This window comes from Homo sapiens, chromosome 19 (assembly GCF_000001405.40).
Source record: "Homo sapiens chromosome 19, GRCh38.p14 Primary Assembly".
Taxonomy (NCBI): Eukaryota; Metazoa; Chordata; class Mammalia; order Primates; family Hominidae; genus Homo; species Homo sapiens.
The window spans coordinates 49363548-49388130 of record NC_000019.10 but is presented as its reverse complement, the minus strand read 5'-3'; the positions used below and the strand labels follow the sequence as shown (position 1 = coordinate 49388130).

The 24583-nt window shown below is 47.6% G+C and overlaps 1 protein-coding gene and 1 long non-coding RNA gene across 12 annotated transcripts in view; one reads left to right on the top strand and one right to left on the bottom strand.

Moving 5' to 3' along the window:
- The first annotated feature begins 49 nt into the window (after positions 1-49).
- LOC101928295 (uncharacterized) lies at positions 50-19426 on the top strand. The gene is made up of 3 exons (NR_110729.1): positions 50-775; positions 5183-5280; positions 16988-19426. It is a non-coding gene; the product is annotated as an uncharacterized LOC101928295 (long non-coding RNA).
- The window catches only part of DKKL1 (dickkopf like acrosomal protein 1), a 14602-nt gene continuing 3033 nt past the window's right edge, over positions 13015-24583 (bottom strand). For 5 of the 11 annotated variants that reach the window (XM_017026593.2, XM_011526725.2, XM_011526726.3 and 2 more), the window contains exons 2-5: positions 23377-23549; positions 22482-22622; positions 22246-22338; positions 13015-13414 (exon numbers count right to left, since the gene is read on the bottom strand). In XM_017026593.2, the coding sequence (XP_016882082.1) occupies positions 13103-13414; positions 22246-22338; positions 22482-22580 (504 nt within the window). In that variant the 5' untranslated portion in view covers positions 22581-22622; positions 23377-23549 and the 3' untranslated portion in view covers positions 13015-13102. Of the gene's footprint in view, positions 13415-22245; positions 22339-22481; positions 22623-23376; positions 23550-24012; positions 24098-24122; positions 24255-24583 lie in introns of those variants that run through there. The other 6 variants (NM_014419.4, NM_001197302.2, XM_006723142.3 and 3 more) reach the window with 6 other exon arrangements.

Genomic DNA, 24583 nt, shown 5'->3' with positions numbered 1-24583 from the left:
GCCGACGCGTGTCACGCATGCGCGCTGGCGGTGTGGGCTGTGGCCACGGAGTTTGTCTGGTGGTGGAAGGAGGGGGTGGCTGCGCCCGCCATGCTGGGGCTCGTGTTTTTCTCTTCCGCTTCAGGCTTTGGTGAAATGGGCTGAGGAAGGGGGAATTGAACTGAGAGACTCCTTGTCCGTCCCCCATTTCTTTCTTTTTTTTTTTTTTTTGAGATGGAGTCTCGCTCTGTCGCCCAGGCTGGAGTGCAGTGGGACAATTTTAGCTCACTGCAACCTCCGCCTCCCGGGTTCAAGCAATTCTCCTGCCTCAGCCTCCCGAGTAGCTGGGATTACATGCGCCCGCCACCACACCTGGCTAATTTTTGTATTTTTAGTAGAGACGGGGTTTCACCACGTTGGCCAGGCCGGTACCGAACTCCCAACCTCAGGCGATCCACCCGCCTCGGCCTCCCAAAGTGCTGGGATTACAGGCGTGAGACACAGCGCCTGGCCTGTCCTTTTTATGTATTGCCATATTTTCTTTTCTTTTCTTTTCTGTGAGATCCCTGTTGAGTTTTGTTAACAAGGCTATGCTGATATAATGTGTGGAGAAGTGTTCTCTCTTTTTCTATTCTTTGAAAGTGCTAGTGTAGGATTGATGTTATTTATTTTTTATGTGTTTGGAAGAAGTCACCAGCCATCTGGACCTAGAGTTTTCTTTGTGGAAAGACTTTAAATTACAAATTCTATTTCTTTTATAAAAATACAACTATTCAGATGTTCTATTTTATTTCTGGTAAGTTGTGGTTTTGGTAAGTTGTGGTTTTCAAGGAATTTTTCCATTTTATCTAAAATTTCAAATAATTTGCATAAAGTTCATAATATTGTCTTTTTTTGGAGGGGGAGAAACACGGTCTTATGTTAGGCTGGTCTCGAACTCCTGCCCTCAAATGATCCTCCTACCTTGGCCTCCCAAAGTGCTGGGGTTACTGGCATGAGCCACCATGCCCAATCTTTTTAATATCTGTAAGATCTGTGGTGACGGATATTAATAATTTGTGCCATCTCTCTTTTCCCCCCTCCCTTCCCCTCTGCTCCTCTCCTCCCCTTCCCCCACTCCCCTCCCCTCATCTCCCCTCCCCCGTACCTTCCCCTCCCCTCCCGCCTCCCTTCCCTTCTGCTCCTGTCCTCCCCTTCCCCCACTCCCCTCCCCTCATCTCCCCTCCCCCGTACCTTCCCCTCCCCTCCCCCTCTCTTCCCCTCTGCTCCTCTCCTCCCCCCACTTTCCTCCCCTCATCTCCCCTCCCACCTCCCTTCCCCTCCCCCTCCCTTTATCTCCCCTCCCTTCCCCTCCCTTCCCCCTCCCTTCCCCTCCCTTCCCCTCCCTTCCCCTCCCTTCCCCTCCGCGTCCACTGCCTCCCCTCCTCCCTCCCCTTCCTCCCCTCCCCTCCCCCCTCCTCTCTTTCTGAGACAGGTTCTCACCCAGGATAGAGTGCAGTAATGTGACCCTAGCTCACTGCAGCCTCCACCTCCTGGGCTCAAGTAATCCTCCCACCTCAGCCTCCTGAGTAGGTGGGACTACAGCCATGTGCCCTCAAGCCCCTGATCTTGCTGTTTTTTTTTTTGTTTTTTTGTTTTTTTTTTTTGAGACGGAGTCTCGCTCTGTCGCCCAGGCTGGAGTGCAGTGGGGCGATCTCGGCTCACTGCAAGCTCCGCCTCCCGGGTTCACGCCATTCTCCTGCCTCAGCCTCCCGAGTAGCTGGGACTACAGGCACCCGCTACCACGCCCGGCTAATTTTTTGTATTTTTAGTAGAGACGGGGTTTCACCGTGTTAGCCAGGATGGTCTCGATCTCCTGACCTCGTGATCCGCCCGCCTCGGCCTCCCAAAGTGCTGGGATTACAGGCGTGAGCCACCGCGCCCGGCATGATCTGCTGTTCTTTTTCCAGCTTTTTCCCCCCAACTTCTTGAGGTGAATGCTTAGGTCACTGATATTTTTAGGTTATTAAGCCATTGATTTTTTTTTTGAGACGGAGTTTCACTGTCACCCAGGCTGGAGTGCAGTGGTGCGGTCTTGGCTCACTGCAACCTGTGCCTCCCGAGTTCAAGCGATTCTCCTGCCTCAACCTACTGAGTAGCTGGGATTACAGGCGTGCCCCACCATGCCTGGCTAATTTTTTGTATTTTTAGTAGAGTCGGGGTTTCACCATGTTGGCCAGACTGGTCTTGAACTCCTGACCTCGGGTGAGCCGCCTGCCTTGGCCTCCTAAAGTGCTGGGATTAGAGGCGTGAGCCACCGTGCTGATGCCAGGTCATGTGCCCAGCCAGGTCATTTGATTTTTAAAGATCTCTTCTAATACATGCGTTTAGAGCCATCATTTGCCTTCTAAAAACTTCTGTAGCTACACTTGACACATTTGTTATGCCACATTTCTATTATTATTATTATTTTTTGAGACAGAGTCTCGATCTGTCACCCAGGCTGGAGTGCAATGGCACAATCTTGGCTCGCTGCAATCTCTGCCTCCTGGGTTCAAATGATTCTCCTGCCTCAGCCTCCCGAGTAGCTGGGATTACAGGCATGCACCACCACACCTGGCTAATTTTTGTATCTTTAGTAGAGATGGGGGTTTCTCCATGTTGGCTAGGCTGGTCTCGAACTCCCGACCTCAAGTGATCTGCCTGCCTCAGCCTCCCAGAGTGCTGGGATTATTGGCATGAGCCACCATGCCTGGCCACGTTTCCATTATTATCAATTCAAAATATTTTCTAATTTGACCTGAGTGATAATTTTTAGAGATATATTGCTTACTTTCCAAATATTTTATGACTTCCCTGCTATCTTTTTATTATTTATTTATTTTTGAGACGGAGTCTCGCTTTGTCGCCAGGTTGGGTGCAGTGGCGTGATCTGGGCTCACTACAACCTCTGCCTCCTGGATTCAAGTGATTCTCCTGCCTCAGCCTCCTGAGTAGATGGGACTACAGGCACGCACCACCACAGCCAACTTTTTTTTTTTTTTTGTATTTTTAGTAGAGACGGGGTTTCACCATGTTGGCCAGGATGATCTCGATCTCTTGACCTTGTGATTCCTCTGCCTCAGCCTCCCAAAGTGCTGAGATTACAGGCGTGAGCCACTGCGCCCGGCCCCCTGCTATCTTTTTATTATTGCTTCCTACTTAATTCACTGTAGTCAGAAAACATACAAACATACTCTATATGATTTCATTTCTTTGACATTTGTTGAGATTTGCTTTATAGTCCACGATTTCATCTATTTTAGCAAATGCTTCATGTGTATTTGAAAAGAGTAGCTTGGCGTGGTGGCTCATACCTGTAATCCCAGCACTTTGGAAGGCCAAGTTGGGTGGATCACCTGAGGTCAGGAGTTCAAGACCAGCCTGGCCAACATGGTGAAAGCCCGTTTATACTAAAAATACAAAATTAGCCAGATGTGGTGGCATGTGCCTGTAATCCCAGCTACTCAGGAGGCTGAGGCAGGAGAATTGCTTGAACCCAGGAGGTGGAGGGTACAGTGAGCTGAGATCGCGCCACTGCACTACAGCCTGGGCCAGACAGAGCGAGACTTCATCTCAAAAAAAAAAAAAGAAAAAAAAAAGGCCAGGTGTGGTGGCTCACGCCTGTAATCCCAGCACTTTGGGAGGCTGAGGCAGGCGGATCACCTGAGGTTGGGAGTTTGAGACCATCCTGGCCAACATGGTGAAACCCCATCTCTACTAAAAATAAAAAAAAATTAGTCAGGCATGGTGGTACACGCCTGTCTTCCCAGCTACTCAGGAGGCTGAGGCAGGAGAATTGCTTGAACCTGGGAGGCAGAGGTTGCAATGAGCCGAGATTGTGCCACTGGACTCCAGCATGGGCAACAAGAGTGAAACTCTGTTTCAAAAAAAAAAAAAAAAGAAAAAAAAAAGAAAAGAACAGAGTGTGTATCCTGCAGGTCAGCTATGTCAGGTCAAGTTTGTCAATCATGCTGTTCAAATCTTTAATATCTTCACTGTTTGCTTCTTGTACTGAATGACTGTGGATTTTTCCATCTCTCAGTTCTGTCATTTTTGCTTTATATATGTTGAAGCTGTATTATTAAATGCATACAGATTTAGAATGGTTATATCCTCCTGGTGACTTGACCCCTTTATTACCTTGAAATGTCATTTTTTACTTCTAGCAATGCTTTTTGCCTTAATGGCTACTTTGATGTAGAGATTTCTCCAGCTTTCTTTGGTTAGTGTTTATATAGGGTATCTTTTTCATCCTGTAACTTTCCATCTTTTTGTGTGCTTATATTTAAGGCATGTCTCTTGTAACAGCATATAGTTGGGTTTTGTTTTATGCTGACTGCTGATTTTTGACTTTACCAAAACTCTTAGTGAAGTGTAATATTTATATAGAACAGTCCATAGATCATAAGTGATAAGCTTTATGAATTTTCAGAAATTGAACACATCTGTGTTATCTAAACCGAGATCAAGATACAACATACTACCTGCCTCCAAGATTCTTCCTCATGGCTCCTTCCAGTCCCTACTCTCCTAGGGGTAACTTTTACCCTAATTTCTTTTCTTTTTCTTTCTTTTTTTTTTTTTTTTTTTGAGACAAAGTCTCCTTCTGTGGCCCAGGCTGGAGTGCAGTGGCGCAATCTTGTCTTACTGCAAACTCCGCCTCCTGGGTTCAAGTGATTCTCGTGCCTCAGCCTCTGAGTAGCTGGGATTACAGCCATGTGCCACCGTATCTGGCTAATTTTTGTATTTTTAGTAGAGATGAGGTTTCACCATGTTGGCCAGGCTGCTCTCGAACTCCTGACCTCAGGTGATCTGCCCACCTCAGCCTCCCAAAAAGTGCTGGGATTACACGCATGAGCCACTGTGCCCGGCCTACCCCAATTTCTAATGGCATAGATAAGCTTTATTTGTTTTTTTATTCAGAATAAATAAAACCATACAGAAACATTTTTGTTTCTGGTTCTTTTGTTAAATGTCATATAAGATTCAACCATGTTGCATGTAGTTGTAGATCAGAAAATCTGTGCCTTTTATTTGGAGTATTTAGTGTCAGTTACTTAAAAATATCTTTATACAGTATTAAAAAAATCTCAAACATACATAAAGTAAACATAACGAACCCGTATATACCTAACACATAGCTTTAGCAATTATCAACGTTCTGCCTTATTTTTGGAAACAGGGTCTCACTCTGTTACGCAGGCTGGAGTACAGTGGCACATTCTTGACTGACTGCAACCTCCACCTCCCAGGCTCAAGCGATCCTCCCACCTTGGATCTGTGAGTTGATGTCTTTCATCAGTTTTTTAAAATTCTTGCCCAGGAGTTCTTTAGTATTGCTTCCTCCTCATTGTCTTTTTCCTCTCTTCTAGGACTCCAGTATGTATGTATTAGACCTTTTAACCATGACCTATATGTCTCATATGTTTTTAATGTATTTTCTACCCTATTTCTGTGTAATTTAATCTAGATATTTTCTATTGATCTGTTTTCCAGTGTGTCTAACCTGATGTGGGACTAATCTACTGAATTTTTATTTCAATTAATTTATTTTTCAGCTCTAGAATTTATATTGGATTCTCCCTCCTCCTTAGATTCCAGTTCTCTGATGAAATTATCCATCTTTTCATCTATTTTTGGGGAACATATTAATTATAGTTATTTGAAAGCCTGTATCTGAGAACTGTAATACCTGGATCACCTTTGGGTACATACTTCTAGTGTATGTTTTTTCTCTTGGTTTTCTGTCATTTGGTCTTGTTTCCTGGCAAGACTGGTAATTTTTAAATTAAAATATAAAAACTGGATGGTATTATCTTCCCTCGGAAAGAATTTAATTTCCTTGGCTGGGCGCGATGGCTCATGCCTGTAATCCCAGCACTTTGGGAGGCCAAGACGGGTGGATTACAAGGTCAGGAGTTCAAGATCAGCCTTGCTAATATGGTGAAACCCCATCTCCCGTGTTCAAATGACTCTTATGCCTCAGTCTCCCGAGTAGCTGGGATTACAGGTGCCTGCCACCATGCCCAACTAATTTTTGTATTTTTAGTAGAGACAAGGTTTCACCATATTGGCCAGACTGGTCTTGAACTCCTGACCTCAGGTGATCCACCTGCCTCAGCCTTCCAAAGTGTTGGGATTACAGGTGTGAACCATCATGCCTAGCTTGTATTCAGCTTTTATAGTTTTTGGTGGGGAGTTAGTCAGCTACTAGCTACTCCATCATAGTGACAAGCAAAAGTCCGGATAATCTTTTTGATCAGTAAATACATATATGTTACTTCTTTAATTGTAACACTTAGCTCACTTCCCATTTTAAATAGAATAACATAAAAACTCCTCACTACGCTCCAAAGACCCTGCATGGTCTGCTCTCCTGTACCCTACGTCTACTTTTGTGATCTTATCCCCTATTTATCTCCATCAATAACTGCTCTGTCCACCTTGGCCTCCTTGTTTTTGATCAAGCCAAGCCATTTCCAACCTCAGGACCTTTGCACTTGCTATTCCCTCAGCCTGAAAGTCTCTTTCTCCAGATTTACCATGGACCGGATTTGCTCCATTACCCCAGTTCAGTCTCTGTGTATATATCAGAGTGCCTCCCTCTGTGTATATATCAGAGAGACTACCCTATCTAAGATGAGCTCGGTCCCCTCAGAGTTTCCTTTCTGCCTCATGTTGCTTTATTCTTCACAGCATTTGCCATTGCTTGATACATATTTATTGTTTCTCTCCCCCACCAAATCCCATGATGCTGGGGCATTGTTTATTCACTGCTTAATCCCCACTGCTTAGAATAGTGTTGGGGGTCTGGGCACATTGGTTCATGCCTGTAATCCCAGGACTTTGGGAAGCTGAGGCAGGCAGATCGCTTGAGCCCAGGAGCTCAAGACCAGCCTGGGTAACATGGAGAAACCACCTTTCTACAAAAAAAATTTATAAAAATTAACCGGGCATGGTGGCATATGCTTGTGGTCCCAGCTACTCAGGAGGCTGAGGTGGGAGGATCACCTGAGCCCAGGAGGCAGAGGTTGCAGTGAGCTGAGATCACACCACTACACTCCAGCCTGGGTGACAAAGTGAGACTCCATCGCCTGCCCCTGCCCCCCCAAAAAAACCCAAAGTCTTATGAATTAACACTTTTTTTCCAGTCAAAAAATCAGGATGATATCAGGGAATACCAGACCTGGTAACTGAGTAGATGTTGGGGGTCTCACCCAGGTGTGTGAAGCCACTGGGAGGAAGATGCTGAAATAGTCTGAGATGTAGTGGTTGTGGGTGGGTCCATGGATTTTCTTGGGGGAAGCGAGGCCCAGGAGATAGTGGTCCATCCCCATCCTCTACTGCTTTCTTCCTCTCTAATTGAGCTAATGCCCAGTTAAGTCTTCAAAGATCTTGAGCACTGAGAGGCTTTCAGGCCCCTCCTCCTCTATAACATAATAATGTAAAGTGGAGACCAGCTGCTAGTAAAGCACTAAATGCAAAAGGTAAAACTATAAAGTTAATAAAAGAAAATGTAGGAAAGTATTAATGACTTCTTTTAGGGATCTCAAAAGGATGAATCATAAGTCAAAAAAATTAATTTGATTACATCAGTATTAAGGGTTTCTATTCATCAAGGATCCCAAGGGCCAAGATCATGAGAGATGAGATGATGGACGAGCGGAAGATATTTGCATTGTCTAAAATTGACCAGGGGCTGGGCGTGGTGGCTCATGCCTGTAATCCCAGCACTTTGGGAGGCCAAGGCAGGCAGATCACCTGAGGTCAGGAGTTTGAGACCGGCCTGGCCAAGAGATTTTGTATTTTTGTACTAAAAATACAAAAATTAGCCAGATGTGATGGAGCATGCCTATAATCCCAACTACTTGGGATGCTGAGGCAGGAGAATAGCTTGAATCTGGGAGGTGGAGGTTGTGGTGAGCTGAGATCGCACCACTACACTCCAGCCTGGGCGACAGAGTGAGACTCCGTCTCAAAAAAAATTAATAAATAAAATAAAAAAATAAAATTGACAAGGGATTAAAAGGTAGGTGATTGAAGGAACTCCTACAAATCAAAAAGAAAAAGATAACAACCCAACAGAAAAAAATGACCAAGAATTTACAGAAAAGCAGGCAATTTACAGAAGGGGAAATCCAAAAAACTAACAAATATGTGATAAGGAGCTCAAAAGATCAGTAACCAGAAACATTCCAATTAAAGCAACAGGAAACTACCCTTTTTAGATTGGCAGACTGCAACAAGCTGAATAATGCTTTATCCTTTAGGGTTTGCTCAGAGAAGCAGATCCATTGTGACTTATACAGTTCATCCTTGAACAATCCCACGTAGCTGGGATTACAGGCATGCACCACCATGCCCAGCTAACTTTTGTATTTTTAGTGGAGATGGGGTTTCACTATGTTGGTCAGGCTGGTCTCAAAGTCCTGACCTCAGGTGGTCCTCCCGCCTCAGCCTCTAAAAGTGCTGGGGTTACAGGCATGAGCCACCGTGCCCGGCGATTTTATTTTTTTTAACCCTCTCCTAACTTCCTCTGATTTCCTTAATAACATTTTCTTTTCTCTAGCTCACTTTATTGTTTGAATATAGTATATAATACATATAACACAGCCAGGCATGGTGGCTCACGCCTGTAAACCCAGAACTTTGGGAGGCCAAGGTGGGCTGATCGCTTGAGCCTAGGAATTGGAGACACCCCTGGGTAACATGGTGAAACCCTCATCTCTACTAAAAATACAAAAATTAGCCAGGTGTGGTTGTGAGAGCCTTATCTGTGGTCCTGCCTACCTGGGAGGCTGAGGAGGGGGGATCGCTTGAACCAGGGGGGTCGAGCCTGGAGTGAGCTATGATTGTGCCACTGCACTCCACCCTGGGTGACAGGGCAAGATCCTGTATCAAAAAAAAAAAAAATCCCCAAAAACATATATCATAAAATATATGTGTTCATCTACTGTTTATGTAAAGCTTCTGGTCAATAGCATGCTATTAGTCATTAAGTTTTTGGGGAGTCAAAATTGATCTTCAGATTTTTTACCTCACAGGGGGTTAGTCCCCTAAGCCCTGAGTTGTTCAGGGTAAACTGTTTAATAGAATTATTAATTAACTAATTGTTTTAACAGCTTTATTGAGTTATCATCCACACACCACATAATTTACCCATTTAAAGTGTATAATTCAGTGGTTTTCAGTGTACTCACAGAGTTCTACAATCATCACAATTAATTTTAGAACATTTTCATCACTCCAAAACAAAGCCCTACATCTCTTAGCCATTATTCCTAACTCAACCTTCCTTTCCGTGAAGCCCCACATAACCATGAATCTGCTTTCTGTCTCTGTAGATTTGCCTTGTTAAATAAATTTTACAGGAAGCCATTGGTTTGGACCGAGCTCCTGCACTAGGCCCAAGAGACCAGTGGAGTCACTCATGTTACAGTTCCATGTCAGCAAGCTGAAACTAAGTTATATGACCTCTGAGAATTTAGGGGAGACAGGAGAGAGAGATAATAGCCACATCTTCTAGCTAGCATGATGAGGAAGTCCCCTCTGTTTTAACCTTTACAAGTAAAGTAACTTTGTTTGTTTTTTTGTTTGTTTTTAGAGACGGAGTCTTGCTCTGTCGCCCAGGCTGGAGTGCAGTGGTGTGATCTCGGCTCACTGCAACCTTCGCCTCCTGGGTTCAAGCAATTCTTCTGCCTCAGCCTCCCGAGTAGCTGGGATTACAGGCACCCACCGCCATGCCCGGCTAATTTTTTATATTTTTAGTAGAGACGTGGTTTCACTGTGTTGGCCAGGCTAGTCTTGAACACCTGACCTCAGGTGATCCACCTGCGTCAGCCTTCTAAAGTGCTGGGGTACAGGCGTGAGCCACCACACCTGGCCACAAGTAAAGTAACTTTGAAATGACCAATTGAGGCCGGGCACAGTGGTTCATGCCTGTAATCCCAGCACTTTGGGAGGCCGAGGTGGGCGGATCACGAGATCAGGAGATGGAGACCATCCTGGCTAACATGGTGAAACCTTGTCTCTACTAAAAATACAAAAAATTAGCCGGGCATGGTGGCAGGCACCTGTAGTCCCAGTGAGTCAGGAGGCTGAGGCAGGAGAATCACTTGAACCCGGGAGGCAAAGATTGCAGTGAGCCGAGGTGGCGCCACTGCACTCCAACCTGGGCGACGGAGCGAGACTCCCATCTCAAAGAAAAATAAAAAAGAAAGGAGGTATTCAAAATGAATCTGAAAGGATAGTTTGATGACAGATAATAATTGTTCTGTAATAAAAAATTAAAAAAAAAAAAAAAGAAATGTAATCCCTGGCCGGGCACAGTAGCTCACGCCTGTAATCCCAGCACTTTGGGAGGCTGAGGTGGGTGCATCACTTGAGGTCAGGAGTTTGAGACCAGCCTGCCCAACATGATGAAACCCTGTCACTACTAAAAATACAAAAATTAGCTGGGTGCGGTGGCTCACGCCTGTAATCCCAGAACTTTGGGAGGCTGAGGTAGGCGGATCACTTGAGGTCAGTAGTTCAAGACCACCTGGCCAACATGGTGAAACCCCGTCTCTACAAAAAATACAAAAATTAGCTGGGTGTGGCAGCAGGAGCCTTTAATCCCAGCTACTCGGGAGGCTGAGGCAGGAGAATCGCTTGAACCCGGGAGGTAGAGATTGCAGTGAGCCGAGATCGTAAACAACCCTTCTCTGCTCGGCTCATGGGAACACTCATTTTACTTTATAGAATGAGGTACTGCCCTATTCTAGAATTGCAAATAAAAGCCAATGTGGGCCGGGTGCAGTGGCTCACGCCTGTCATCCCAGCACTTTGGGAGGCCGAGGTGGGTGGATCACGAGGTTAGGAGTTCAAGACCAGCCTGGCCAATATGGTGAAACCCTGTCGCTACTAAAAAATACAAAAATTAGCCAGGCATGACAGCGCGTGCATGTAGTCCCAGCTACTTGGGAGGCTGAGACAGAAGAATCTCTTGAACTTGGAAGGTGGAGATCACGCCACTGCACTCCATCCAGCCTGGGCGACAGAGTGTGAGACTCTGTCTCAAAAACAAAAAAAACAAAAAGACACAATGTGAGGATACAGTGAGAAAGCAGCCATCCTCAAGCCAAGGAGAGAGGCCTTAGAAGCAGCCAAACTTGGCCGGGCGTGGTGGCTCATGCCTGTAATCCCAGCACTTTGAGAGGCTGAGGCGGGCAGATCACCCGAGGTTGGGAGTTTGAAACTAGCCTGGCCAAAATGGTAAAACCCCATCTCTATTAAAAATACAAAAATTAGCTGGGCGTGGTGGTGAGCACCTGTAGTCCCAGCTACTTGGGAGGCTGAGGCATGAGAATCACTTGAACTTGGGTGGTGGCAGAGACTGCAGTGAGCTGAGATCATGCCACTGCACTCCAGCCTGGACGACAGAGCGAGACGGTCTCAAAAAAAAAAAAAAAAGTTGACTTGTATTCATTGTACTCACTGTTGGGTTCCTGAGTGTGTGAGTCTATGGGGTGATCCAGCGCTCAGCTTGGGCTTCAAGGGAGAGAGTACATGCCGTGTCCGGGTCCTAGATGGGACTCAGCACTGGGGAGGATCAGATCAGCTTTCTCCTTGATGGGTCATGACGGAGGATTCTCAGAGGGGACAGGAAATGCTCTGAGGAAGGACAAAGTGGACAGACCACCACAGGCAAGCTCTGTGAGCTTCCAAGTTTGGACGTGGCATCAGGCCTGGAAGTGAGGGAGTTTGAGGTGGTGAGCAGGGAGGGTCAGATAGAGGGACAAAGAGAGAGAAATAGCAAGTTGGAGATGGAGTCTCTCCGTCAGGGGGTAGTGAGAGAATGAGAAGATGAAGACAAGGATAGGTGGGTGTGGACACCACAGAGTCGAGGCTGGAGATGACATGGGAAGGACCTGAGTGGGGCTGGATAGTGGTCCCCCAAAGATGATCACCCCATAATTCCTGAAAACTGTAAATATGTTGTCCCGGTAGGTCCAGTCCAATCACATGAGCCCTTCAAAGCAGAGGACTGTCTCTGCCAGAAGAGGAAGGCATACCAGAGATGGGACACAAGGGGAAGTCAGAGTCCCGCCATGATACTGGGCTGTGGCTCTGGGATGTCAGGTCCACCTGCAGTAACTGGAGAGAGGCCTCTTGGAGCTAAGCGTGGAAGCATGGGTGGCCCCCAGCTGACAGCCAGCAAGAACGTGGGGACCTCAGTCCCACAAGCCCAGGAACTCGATTCTGCTTAAAATCTGAATGAGCTTGAAAGCAGCTTCTTCCCAGAGCCTCCCAATGAGAGCTCGGGTGGCTGACACCCTGTGAAACCCAGAGCTGAGGGCCAGCGGAGCCATCCTGGATTTCTGACCAGGATGATATGTGAAATAATGCATTTGTGTTGTTTTAAGTTGCCAAGTTTGTGCCCATTTTTATGGCAGTAACAGTACGGGGGCCAAGTAGAGAGGACTGGAGTGAAAGAGTTGGGGGCCGGGCACAGTGGCTCAAGCCTGTAATCCCAGCACTTTGAGAGGCTGAGGTGGGAGGATCGCTTGAGCCCAGGAGTTCAAGACCACCCTGAGCAACACAGGGAGATCCCTATGTTAAATAATACAACAATTAGCTGGGCGTGGTGGCGCACACCTGTGGTCCCAGCTACTGGGGAGGCTGAGGTGAGAGGATCACCTGAGCCTGGGAGGTCAAGGCTGCAGTGAGCTGTGATTGTGCCACTGCACTCCAGCCTGGGTAACAGAGTGGGACCCTGTTCTCAAAAAAAAAAAAAAAGCAAAAAAAAATAGCTGAGAGTTGGGAGTGCAGACAGGGCTGGAGGTGACAGGGTTGGGTGCTGAGTGGACAGATGGGGCTACAGCACAGACAATGCCTGAATGAGAAAACCAAGCCTGGGAGACTTAGGCAAGAGCTAGCACAGCCAGCTCTCATGCTCAGAGCTGGGACTGGGGGCCTTTGCCATGGCCTGGTTGGCAGGCGGTTGGGGATAAATAGTGAAAGGAGATGGTGTTGTTAGATGTAAGAAAGAACTTTATTTCCATATGGTGCTTGGGGCAGGGTCTGATGGGGGCTACAGGCAGGTGCTCCCCGGTCCCCACCCCTACAGCTGCCGAGAGGGCCTGAGGATGTACAGTAAGTGGGTCTTTCGGGGGGACAGCCTGGAGTGGGAGGAGCTCTCGGTCCCCTCTTCTAGGACGTCCTTGTGGGTCCCCTTGCGGAGTCCATCCCGGATGGCCTGCAGGCGGTGTCGCTTCTCGCTGAGCCAGTGGCCGCCCTCCAGGGCATCCTGGTGGGACCTCCGCCGTGGCAGCTTAATGATCCAGAAGGCCACCCGGGGATGGAGTTCTGTGTGGAAGCTGTCCGTGGCCTTCTGGATGGGTACCAGGGCCTCCTTCTCCTCCATCCTGGGTACCTGGGGAGGAAGAACAAGGAGACCCTCTCATACTCCAAACAGCACCCCAGGATGGTCAGTCCCCACTGACCTATTCAGCCCACTTTGCAGATGACAGGATGCTTTGTGGGTTCAAAAGCCCTGTTTGAGGTTTACAAAGCACTTGGGTTTACACTTAAGGATTAAAAATACTCTGAGGTTTACAGAATGCTTTGGGATTGGAAAATTTGTTTGGGGGCTTTCAAAAGGGAGGTAATAGAGCACTTCAGGGATTATAATGCCTGTTGGGATTCTAGAGCACTTTAGGATTAAATCCTCTCTGAGGTTTAGAGGATAGCAGTTTGAAATGTACAAAGCACTTTAGGACTAAAAGCTCTTGGGTTTACCGAAGACTCATGACCATAAATGCAATGTGTGATCCTTCATTGATCCTGAATCAAAAGCTTTCAAGGGGCCAGGTGCAGTGGCTCATGCCTGTAATCCCAGCACTGTGGGAGGCCGAGGCTGGCGGATCACGAGGTCAGGAGATCGAGACCATCCTGGCTAACACGGTGAAACCCTGTCTCTACTAAAAATACAAAAAAATTTAGCCGGGCATGGTTGCGGGCGCCTGTAGTCCCAGCTACTCGGGAGGCTGAGGCAGGAGATTGGCATGAACCCAGGAGGCGGAGCTTGCAGTGAGCCGAGATCGCACCACTGCACTCCAGCCTGGGTGACAGAGCGAGACTCCATCTCAAGGGAAAAAAAAAAAATAAAGCTTTCAAGGACAGCTTTGAGTTGAGGGAGAAAGTTTGAATATGGACTGAGTGTCTGTTTGGTCCTTGCAATTCAAAGGGTGGGCTGCTGTTGTTAGGTATGCAAATTAATAGGTCCCACCCCACTCAGACCTGCTGAATCAGTCTGCCTTTTAGTAAGATGAGGTCTGAGAAGCCGCGCAGGAGATTGTTATGTGTTAAATTGTTTCCTCCTGGCTGGACGCGGTGGCTCATGTGTGTAATCCAGCACTTTGCGAGGCTGAGGTGGGCAGATCACTTGAGGTCAGGAGTTTGAGACCATCCTGGACAGCATGACAAAATCCTGTCTCTACTAAAAATATGAAAATTAGCTGGGCGTGCTGGCGCGCTCATGTAATCCCAGCTACTTGGGAGGCTAAGGCAGGAGAATCACTTGAACCTGGGAGGCAGAGGCTGCAGTGAGTCAAGATTGTGCCATTGCACTCTAGCCTGGGCAACAGAGCAAGACCCAGGCTTAAAAAACAAACGAACAAACAACCATATTGTTTCCTCCCCAAATTCATATTTTGAAATTCTAACCTGTAATACCTCAGAATGTGGCCTTATTTGGAACTAGGGTCATTGAAGATATAATTGGTGAAGATGAGGTCATTAGGTTGGGCCCTAATCCAACATGACTGTGTTCTTTTTTTTTTTTTTTTGAGATGGAGTCTCACTCTGTAGCCCAGGCTGGAGTGCAGTGGCACAATCTCGGCTCACTGCAGCCTCTGCCTCCTGGGTTCAAGCGATTCTCCCACCACAGCCTCCAGAGTAGCTGGGATTACAGGGGCATGGCACCATGCCAGCTAATTTTTGCATTTTTAGTAGAGACGGGGTTTCACCATGTTGGCCAGGTTGGTCTCAACCTCCTGACCTCAGGTGATCCACCTGCCTTGGCCTCCCAAAGTGCTGGGATTACAGGCGTGAGCCACCATGCCCAGCCTATTTATTTATTTATTTTTTGAGATGGAGTTTCGCTCTTGTTGCCCAGGCTGTAGTGCAATGGTGCTATCTTCGCTCACCGCGACCTCCACCTTCTGGGTTCAAACGATTTTCCTGCTTCAGCCTCCTGAGTAGCTGGGATTACAGACATGTGCCACCATGCCCGGCTAATTTTGTATTTTTAGTAGAGACGGGGTTTCTCCATGTTGGTCAGGGTGGTCTCGAACTCCTGACCTCAGGTGATCTGCCCGCCTCGGCCTCCCAAAGTGCTGGGATTATAGGTGTAAGCCACCACTCCTGGCCATACTTTGTATTTTTTTTTTTTTTTTGAGACGGAGTCTCGCTCTGTCGCCCAGGCTGGAGTGCAGTGGCACGATCTCGGCTCACTGCAAGCTCCACCTCCCGGGTTCACGCCATTCTCCTGCCTCAGCCTTCTGAGTAGCTGGGACTACAGGCGCCTGCCACCATGCCTGGCTAATTTTTTTGTATTTTTACTAGAGACGGGATTTCACCGCATTAGCCAGGATGGTCTTGATATCCTGATCTCATGATCTGCCTGCCTCGGTCTCCCAAAGTGCTGGGATTACAGGTGTGAGCCACTGTGCCTGGCCCCATATTTTGTATTTTTAGTAGACGGGGTTTCGCTACGTTAGCCAGGCTGGTCTCGAACTCCTGACCTCATGATCCGCCCGTCTCTGCCTCCCAAAGTGCTGGGACTACGGGTATGAGCCACTGTGCCTGGCAGGAGGCAACTTCTCTCTAGTGGATAGAGCCCAGGGATGTTATCAAATATCCTACAGTGCACAGGGCAGCTCCCACAATAAAGATTATCCAGCCCCACATGCCAATGATGCCAACCTTAAGAAATTTTGGTTTATGGAAAAGAGACTATAGGGATATTTATTATACTATTTTTTTTTACCATAAAGACACAGGCACATGCATGTTTATTATGGCACTATTCACAATAGCAAAGAATTGGAACCAACCCAATTGTCCATCAGTGATAGACTAGATAAAGAAAACATGGCACATATACACCATGGAATACTATTCGGCCACAGAAAAGGATGAGTTAATGTCCTTTGCAGGGACATGGATGAAGCTGGAAACCATCATTCTCAGCAAACCAACACAAGAGTAGAAAACAAAATACTGCATGTTATCACTCAAGTGGGAGCTGAACAATGAGAACACATGGACACAGGAAGGGAAACATCACACACCAGGACCTGTCGGTGGGGGGTGGGGGGTCAGGGGAGGGATAGCATCAGGAGAAACACCCAATGCAGGTGACGGGCTGATGGGTACAGCAAACCACCATGGTACATGCACCTATGCAACAAAACTGCATGTCTGCACATGTACCCCAGAACCCAAAGTATAATTTAAAAAAACATAAAAATACTATGTCTTAATATAACTTACTGTACCATGGATTTGTTAAAAACTAAGGTAAGTCATTAAGAAAATGATACAAAGCATAAAAGATCATTTATCAAAATTACAAAAACTCTAAAACCAGTGGACAAAGATCCAAAAAAAACTAGTAAAACAATTGAAAAATTATTTGAGTAATAAAATGTAACTATGATGACGCAATGACAGCTTGCATCTTAAAACAGGTTAAAGAAAGAATATTTTTTAAAAAATTAAGAGAATGTAAAAGTCCAGAGAGAGTAGCAAAATCCCCAAAACTCTCACGGTCCAGATGGTTGCTGGGCCAGGGTGAGGTCTTGTGACCCGGCCCTTCCAGGTGTTCAAAAAATCTGTAGGGACTTCTAGCATAAAAAACAAAGGTCACAACAGGTCAGGTCAGGCTCTTCAGCATCCTCATCCTCCTTGAACTCACTGGGTTACATTTCTTCTGCCTTTTCAGGCTTTGTCTCTATTGTTTTTTCTGCAGGTGCTGGGAGAGTACTTGTTGGCATATGCTGATGGTCATCTGCATGATTGGACTCTTCCATATCTGCTCCAGAAGCTTGAGTGTCTCCACTACAGGAAGAGTCTTTGTCATTACTGGTTTTAGAAAAGCTGTCCTCAGAGCCACCATTTTTCTTGATGCCTTTCACGGTGACAACGGCCAGCACTTGCCCTGAGGACATCTCTTCAGGAAGCTCTGCTACAAGAATGGCGAAGCAATCTTTTTTCTTGGCATCTCATTTTGCCCTGTGAAGAGATAGGGCTGCTTCTGGGGACTTTTCACTGATCACCATCCCCGCCAGGTCATCCTTGAAATCATTTACCTGGACTCCCTAGGGTGCCTTCACATTACATGGGGCCTCCTTTTCCTTGATGTTGTTGGCAAATTCTTTCACTGGATTATCTATGGGAACTTTTTCCTTGGCACATTTGTCGGCATTCAGATCCAGTGGAGCATCCTCATGTGAGCTTTCGTTGGTGAGGTCTTCCACCAGGGTATCCTCCATGGGAACTTTTTCCTTGGCTCATTTGTCAGCCTTTAAATTTAGCAAAACATCCCCATCTGAGCTTTTGTTGGCAAGGTCTTCCACCAGGGTATCCTCCGTGGGAACTTTTCCTTGGTGAATTCATCAGCCTTCAATCCAGTAGAGCGTCCTCATCTGAGCTTTCATTGGCAAGGTCTTTCACCAGGGTATCCTCTGTGGGAACTTTTTCTTTCATGCGTTTGTCAACCTTCAAGTCCAGTGAGGCATCCTTATCTGAGCTTTCGTTTCCAAGGTCTTCCACCAGGGTATCCTCCATGGGAACTTTTTCCTTGGCACGTTCTTTGGCCTTCAAATCCAGTGGGGTGTCCTAATCTGAAATTTCATTGGCGAGGTCTTCCAGAGGATCCTCCATGGCACCTTTTTCCTTGGCACATTCATTGGCCTTCCAAAGCCATGGGGCATTTTCATCTGAGCTTTCACTGGCTTGGTATCCTTCCAGGATATCTTCCATGTGAACACTTGCCTGAGTTGCTGAGTCTGTCAAGTGAACAGCAAGAACCTGTTCAGAGGAAGTGTCGCTGGTCTGCTCCCCTGCCAGGTTGTCCTTGAAATCTTCAGATGGCTACCTGCCAGGGTGCACATGAGGATGACACCTGCGGTGGCACATTCTCTCTCTAAAACTGCGCTGGCAGACCATGGATTCGCCATGGACAGTGGAGTCTCCTGAAACCTGAGTATCCACTGCTGCATCTTGGAGGCAATACTCTAGCCTTCACGAGCACCCTTCTACTCCAGTCAGGCTGAAGTCTCCCTCGCTGTCACCGCCACAACTGTAGGAGGTGAGCCACAGAGCCGTGCCATCTGCAAGCTCCAAACTCCACCTCACCACAGGTGACTCCTCCTTCACTTTCTCCTCCAGCCTTTCTCAGAGTGGCTGGGCGGGCAAAGCCAGAAAAGCCACTCTGGCCACACTGCAGCCTCTGTTGCCACCACCAACTGCAGTGAGGCAAGCCATGGTGCCACAGGCTCCAACCTCCAGCATGTGGCAGGTGATTCCCCTTCCCCTTCTCCTGGTTCTCTAAGCCAGGAACAGAGTAGCTCGGTGGGCAGATACAGAAGAGCCTAAAATCTGTTGTACTATTTTAAGAAAAACTTCTCTTGCCTGTAATCCCAGCACTTTGGGAGGCCGAGGTGGGTGGATCACCCAAAGTCAGGAATTCAAGACCAGCCTGGCCAACATAGCAAAACCTCATCGCTACTAAAAATACAAAAAACAAAAAACAAACAAAAAAAAATTAGCTGGATATTGTAGTGCGTGCCTGTTATCCCTGCTCTTTGGGAGGCTGAGGCAGGAGAATCACTTGAACCTGTGTTAGAATCAAAATGCTTGTTTCTTGGTGTCGCAAGGAAAAATTAGCATTCAGACAAAAAGTTTTCTCAGCAAGGCAATTTTACTTTCTGTAGAAAGGGTGCTGCCCATCAGCAATCCTGCCAGGAGAGCACAATGAACAAAGAAAGGCAGGAATATTTATCCCTTATGCATTGGGTCCTTACTGCTGTGTCCTGTCTCCATTGGTTGGAGCTGGACCTCACAGTCTAAGCTAAACCCAATTGGCTAACAACTTAAAAAACTTTCTTAAATAGGTAAAGGCAATGGAGAACAAAGGAAAAGAGGAAGTTGCTTGCCAAAAGACTTGGAGAAGTAATAACATTTCCAAATAAGGAAAGGGCATAAGCTGTGAGCTGGGACATGCTTGAGCACGTCGAGACCAAATATCTTGGTTAACGTACAAGGACACAGAAGGTACTTATTTCCTTATATCTAACAACTACATAAGATATGGTTTAAAAAAGAGTTACTAACACAAAGCAAAGAGGCTTAAAAAAAGTTAATTAAAAATATTATTTCTAACACTTGTGATTTATTATTTAATAAAAACTTTAAAGAGAAACTTTTTTACTTTCCACAACCTAGAAGGTGGAGGTTGCTGTGAGCCAAGATGGCACCACTACACTCCAGTCTGGGTGACAGAGGGAGACTCCATTTCCAAAATAATAAAGTATGTTTTTTAAAAAAAACTTTTCTGTAGTCTTGAAATTTTATTTATTTATTTATTTATTTATTTTTTGAGACAGAGTCTCACTCTGTTGCCCAGGCTAGAGTGCAGTGGCATGATCTGGGCCCACTTTAGACTCAACCTCCTCGTCTCAAACAATCCTCCCACCTCAGGCTTCTGGGTAGCTGGAACCACAGCACACACCACCACACCTGGCTACTTTTTTGATTTTTTTTTTTTTTTTGGAGACAGAGTCTCACTCTGTCCCCCAGGCTGGAGTGCAGTGACATGATCTTGGCTCACTGCAACCTCTGCCTCCCGGGTTCAAACAATTCTTTTACCTCAGCCTCCAGAGTAGCTGGGACTACAGGTGCAGGCTGCCATGCCCGGCTAATTTTTCGTATTTTAGTAGAGACAGGGTTTCACCGTGTTGCCCAGGCTGGTCTCGAACTCCTGAGCTCAGGCAATCTGCCTGCCTTGGCCTCCCAAATTGCTAGGATTACAGGCGTAAGCCAGCATGCCTGGCCTACTTTTTAAATTTTTTTGTAGAGATGAAGACTCCCTCTATTGCCCAGGGTGATCTCAAACTCGTGGGCTCAAGTCATCCTCCTGCCTCAGCCTCCCAAATTGCTAGGATTATAGGTGTAAGCCACTGTGCCTGTCCTGAAATTTTTAAAATAAAATTTTAAATAAACATTTTTAAAATGAAGATATTGCATGGGTGTACGTGGGTATCATATGGATGTATCAAGCTCTTTGGGTTTCTTAAAACTTTTCAGGATTAAAAATACCCTGATTTTGCAAAGCACTTCATAATTAGAATCACTTGTAGAAGTTTACCAAAGGTGGCCTGGCCAGGCATGGTGGCTCACGCCTATAATCCCAGCACCTTGGGAGGCCAAGGCAGTTGGATCACCTGAGGTCAGGAGTTCAAGAGCAGTCTGGCCAACATGATGAAACCTTGTCTCTCTAAAAATAGAAAAATTAGTCAGGTGTGGTGGCAGTCACCTGTAATCCCAGCTACACAGGAGGCTGAGGCAGGAGAATCACTTGAACCTGGGAGATGGAGGTTGCAGTGAGCTGAGATCGCACCATTGCACTCCAGCCTGGGGGACGAGCGAGACTTCGTCTCCAAAAAAAAAAAAAAAAAAGTTTACCAAAGGTGAAATACACAACGCATTTAGCATTCATACAGCTCTTTGGTATTAAAAATCACATTTTGGGCCAGGCGCAGTAGCTCATGCCTATAATCCCAGCACTTTGGGAGGCCGAGGCAGGTGGATCAGCTGAGGTCAGGAGTTCGAGACCAGCCTGGCCAACATGGCCAACATGGCGAAACCCTGTCTACACTAAAAATTCAAAAATTAGCTGGACGTGGTGGCACGTACTTGTAGTCCCATCTACTTGGGAGGCTAGGGCTGGAGAATCACTTGAACCTCAGTGGCGGAGGTTGCAGTGAGCTGAGATTGTGCCATTGCACTCTAGCCTGGGCAACAGAGCGAAACTCCATCTCAAAAAAAACAAAAAAAGAAGAAGAAAATCACATTTTGGGCCAGGTGTGGTGGCTCATGTCTATAATCCTAGTACTTTGGGAGGCAGAGGCGGGCGGATTGCCTGAGCTCAGGAGTTCGAGACCAGCCTGGGAAACATGGCGAAACCCCGTCTCTACTAAAAATAGAAAAATTAGCTGGGTGTGGTGGTCCGCGCCTGTAGTTCCAGCTATTCCGGAGGCTGAGGTGGGAGGATCATTTGAGTCTGGGAGTTGGAGGTTGCAGTGAGCTGAGATTGTGCCACTGTACTCCAGCCTGGATAACAGAGCAAGACTCCATTCTCAAAAAAAAAAACCAAAAAAACAAACAAAAAAAACCCCAAAAATCAAAACCACAATAACAACAAAAACATTTTGGAGTTTATAATGGAGAGGTTTACCAACCACTTTGGGATAGATTGAAAAATACTCTGAAGTTTGCAGAGCACTTACTTTGAGACAAAAACACAATTTGGGGTTTATGAGGGTGAAGCTTTCCAAGCACTTAGAATTAAAAACCCTTCTTGGTTTATAAAACATTTTGGTGCTCATAGAAACACTTTGATTGACTATTATGTAGTTAAAAAAAAAAAAGAAAACCACTTTGATACAAAACCCTCTAGGGTCTACTAAACCCTTGCAGATGTATTCTGAGGTCAAAAATCTCATTTCTGACAGTTGGATTGCCCCACTTGAGAGATGGCAAAACTGAGGCTCAGAAGGAGGAAGTTCCACACAGAGGAGTAAGAGGGTCAGTTCCTCTTCTTGTCCTCCTAAACTACAGAAAATGTTAGGGCCTCACCAGGCATGGTGGCTCATGCCTGTAATCCCAGCACTTTGGAAGGCCAAGATGGGCAGATCACTTGAGGTCAGGAGTTCAAGACCAGCCTGACCAACATGGAGAAACCCTGTCTCTACTAAAAAAATACAAAAAATTAGCCGGGCGTGGTGGCAGGTGCCTGTAATCCCAGCTACCAAGGAGCTTGAGGCAGGAGAATTGCCTGAACTTCGGAGGCGGAGGTTGCAGTGAGCCAAGATCGTGCCACTGCACTCCAGCCTGGGTGACAGAGTGAGACTCTTCTTTAAAAAAGAAAAAAAGAAAATGTTTGGGCCTGGACACTTTGACGGCGGGGCACGTCCTAACCTTCAAATCACCCTCGAAGCTCCCCTCCGCTGGTTGAATGGATGCCACCACATTCTCGGAGATCAGCACCTCTCCTGTCTTGTTGTCGGTCATCTGTGAGGATCCGATGAGAGAGTGAGAGCAAACCTGCTTTCCTCCTCCGCCCTCCTTCCCTCCCAACAGATACTGCAGCACGAGGGATGGCGGGATGGAGGGATCCCAAGGGGACTTCAGGAAGGGCTTCCCTGCATAGGCACCTTGTCGATCTGGAGGTGGCTGGAGAGGGTGTTGTTCCCCAGCTGGTGCTCCTGGTTCTCCTCTTTGTGGTAGTTCCCAGGGAGGCCCCGGAAGTCCATGGGGGCAGAGAATAAGCTGTCTATGCCCCGAAGCAGGTTACCCTGGGGCCGGAGGAGGGACTGGTGAGCTGCTGGACCTCACATCTCCTCAGTACAGCCCCTTCTGCAGCCCTGCTAGGATGCTCCCGAGGCCTTGCCCCAAGTCCCTCCCATCCCCTTTACTTTCTGCCCTCTGATACTTAGGGCCTAACCTCCGGCCTCCATCCCCCATGAATTCTCTCTCTATTCTCAGTCCCATTGCCTTACTATCCCTGTTCCTCTTCTGTCCCCATCCCCCTCTCCTCCTGTCTCTTTCCCCAGTCTCTTGTCTCTGTCCCATCTCCTCTCTCTTTGCCTGTTACCTTTCCTCTCTTATTTATGCACGTATATATTTATTTGTTTAGAGACAGGGTCTCCTTGTTCTGTCATCCAGGCTGGAGTGCAGTGGTGCTATCATGGCTTACTGCAGCCTCGACCTCCTGGGCTCAAGGGATCCTTCTGCCTCAGCCTCCCAAGCAGCTGGGATTATAGGCGCATGTACCTGCAACTATTTTTTATATTTTTTTGTACAGATGAGGGTCTCACTATGTTACCCAGGCTGGTCTCCAAGTACTGGGCTCCAATGATCCTTCTGCCTCAGCCTCCCAAAGTGCTGTGATTATAGCCTGGGCCCAGTCCCTTCCCTCTTCCTATCTCTTGGTCTCCCTGTTGCCCTCTCATCCTGTCTGTCCCCCTGCCTGGCCCTGAACCATCTCCCACTCTGTGTCCCTGAACCTCTTCTCAGTACTTCTTCCCCCATCCCCCCGCCATCGCTTACTTTCAGGAAAAGTCGGCTGAAGCCTTGGAGTAGGCTCTGGAGGCCTGTGAGACCCAAGGAGCTCTCTTGGGCGTCAGCATCATGGATAGGAGCTGCAGCGGAGGGGATCACCAGGGTAGAGAGGAGCAGCAGCAGGACCAGCAGATGCCGCCTTGCGGGGGCAGGTGGGGAGGCTGTGGCAAGGGTCGGGGTCAGAGCCCCGCACAGTGGCCACGCCCCCACCCAAGACGCCCCTCTCCAGCACCTTGCCCAGGTCGCCTCCCCAGTTCAGGCAACTCCCACACCGCGCTCATTTCCCCCACTGCTTCTTTCTTCTACTCCCACACCCTCCACCTTGCCAGGCCCCGTCTTCTCCCAGGTCTGGCTCTTCTGGGTTCTGTCTCATATGCTTTTTTTTTTTTTTTTTTGAGACCGAGACTCTGTAGTCCAGGCTGGAGTACAGTGGCACAATCACGGCTCACTGCAGCCTCGACCTCCCCGGGCTCAGGTGATTCTCCCACCTCAGCCCCCCGAAGTAGCTGGGACCACAGGCGCGCGCCTCCACGCCCGGCTAATTTTTGTATTTTTTGTAGAGACAGGGTTTCGACATATTGCCCAGGCTGGTCTCGAACTCCTGATCTCAAGCGATCCGCCCACCTGGGCCTCCCAAAGTGTTGGGATTGCAGGCGTAAGCCACAGCACCCGGCCTCATCCAATGGTCTTTTCCTCACTTTCGCCCACGTTCACCACCAGATCTCAATCCTCACCTTCTCCCATACCCCGCCCCTTCTTCTGGGCTCCGCCTTTATGCTAGACCACAGCCCGGGTCACCGGACTCCCGGATTCCGGCCGCCCACGTACTGTTAAAGCCAAACAGTTATGGTCTCGAGCCCAGGTCTGGTCTAGAGCGTTGGTTGCGCTCCGCGAGCCGTAGCCACGCCCCTATTGTCTGACCACGCTCCAAACTTGCCGGCCTCACCCAGGAGCCCGGGCCTCTACTCCATGACCACGCCCTTGGTGACACAGCCACGCCCCATCCTTCGTTCACCACACCCCTTAAGCCAGAGCCGTGAGTTCATTCCCTGGCCACGCCCACACAGTCAGACCACGCCCACGTCAGTTGACCTCAGTCCTGGAGACCAAGTCCTGGAAGTCCTGGCGGTGTTCTCTGATTGCGGCCCTCGTTTCGGAGTCCCGCCCAATCGCAATGGCCACGCCCCTTGGCTGA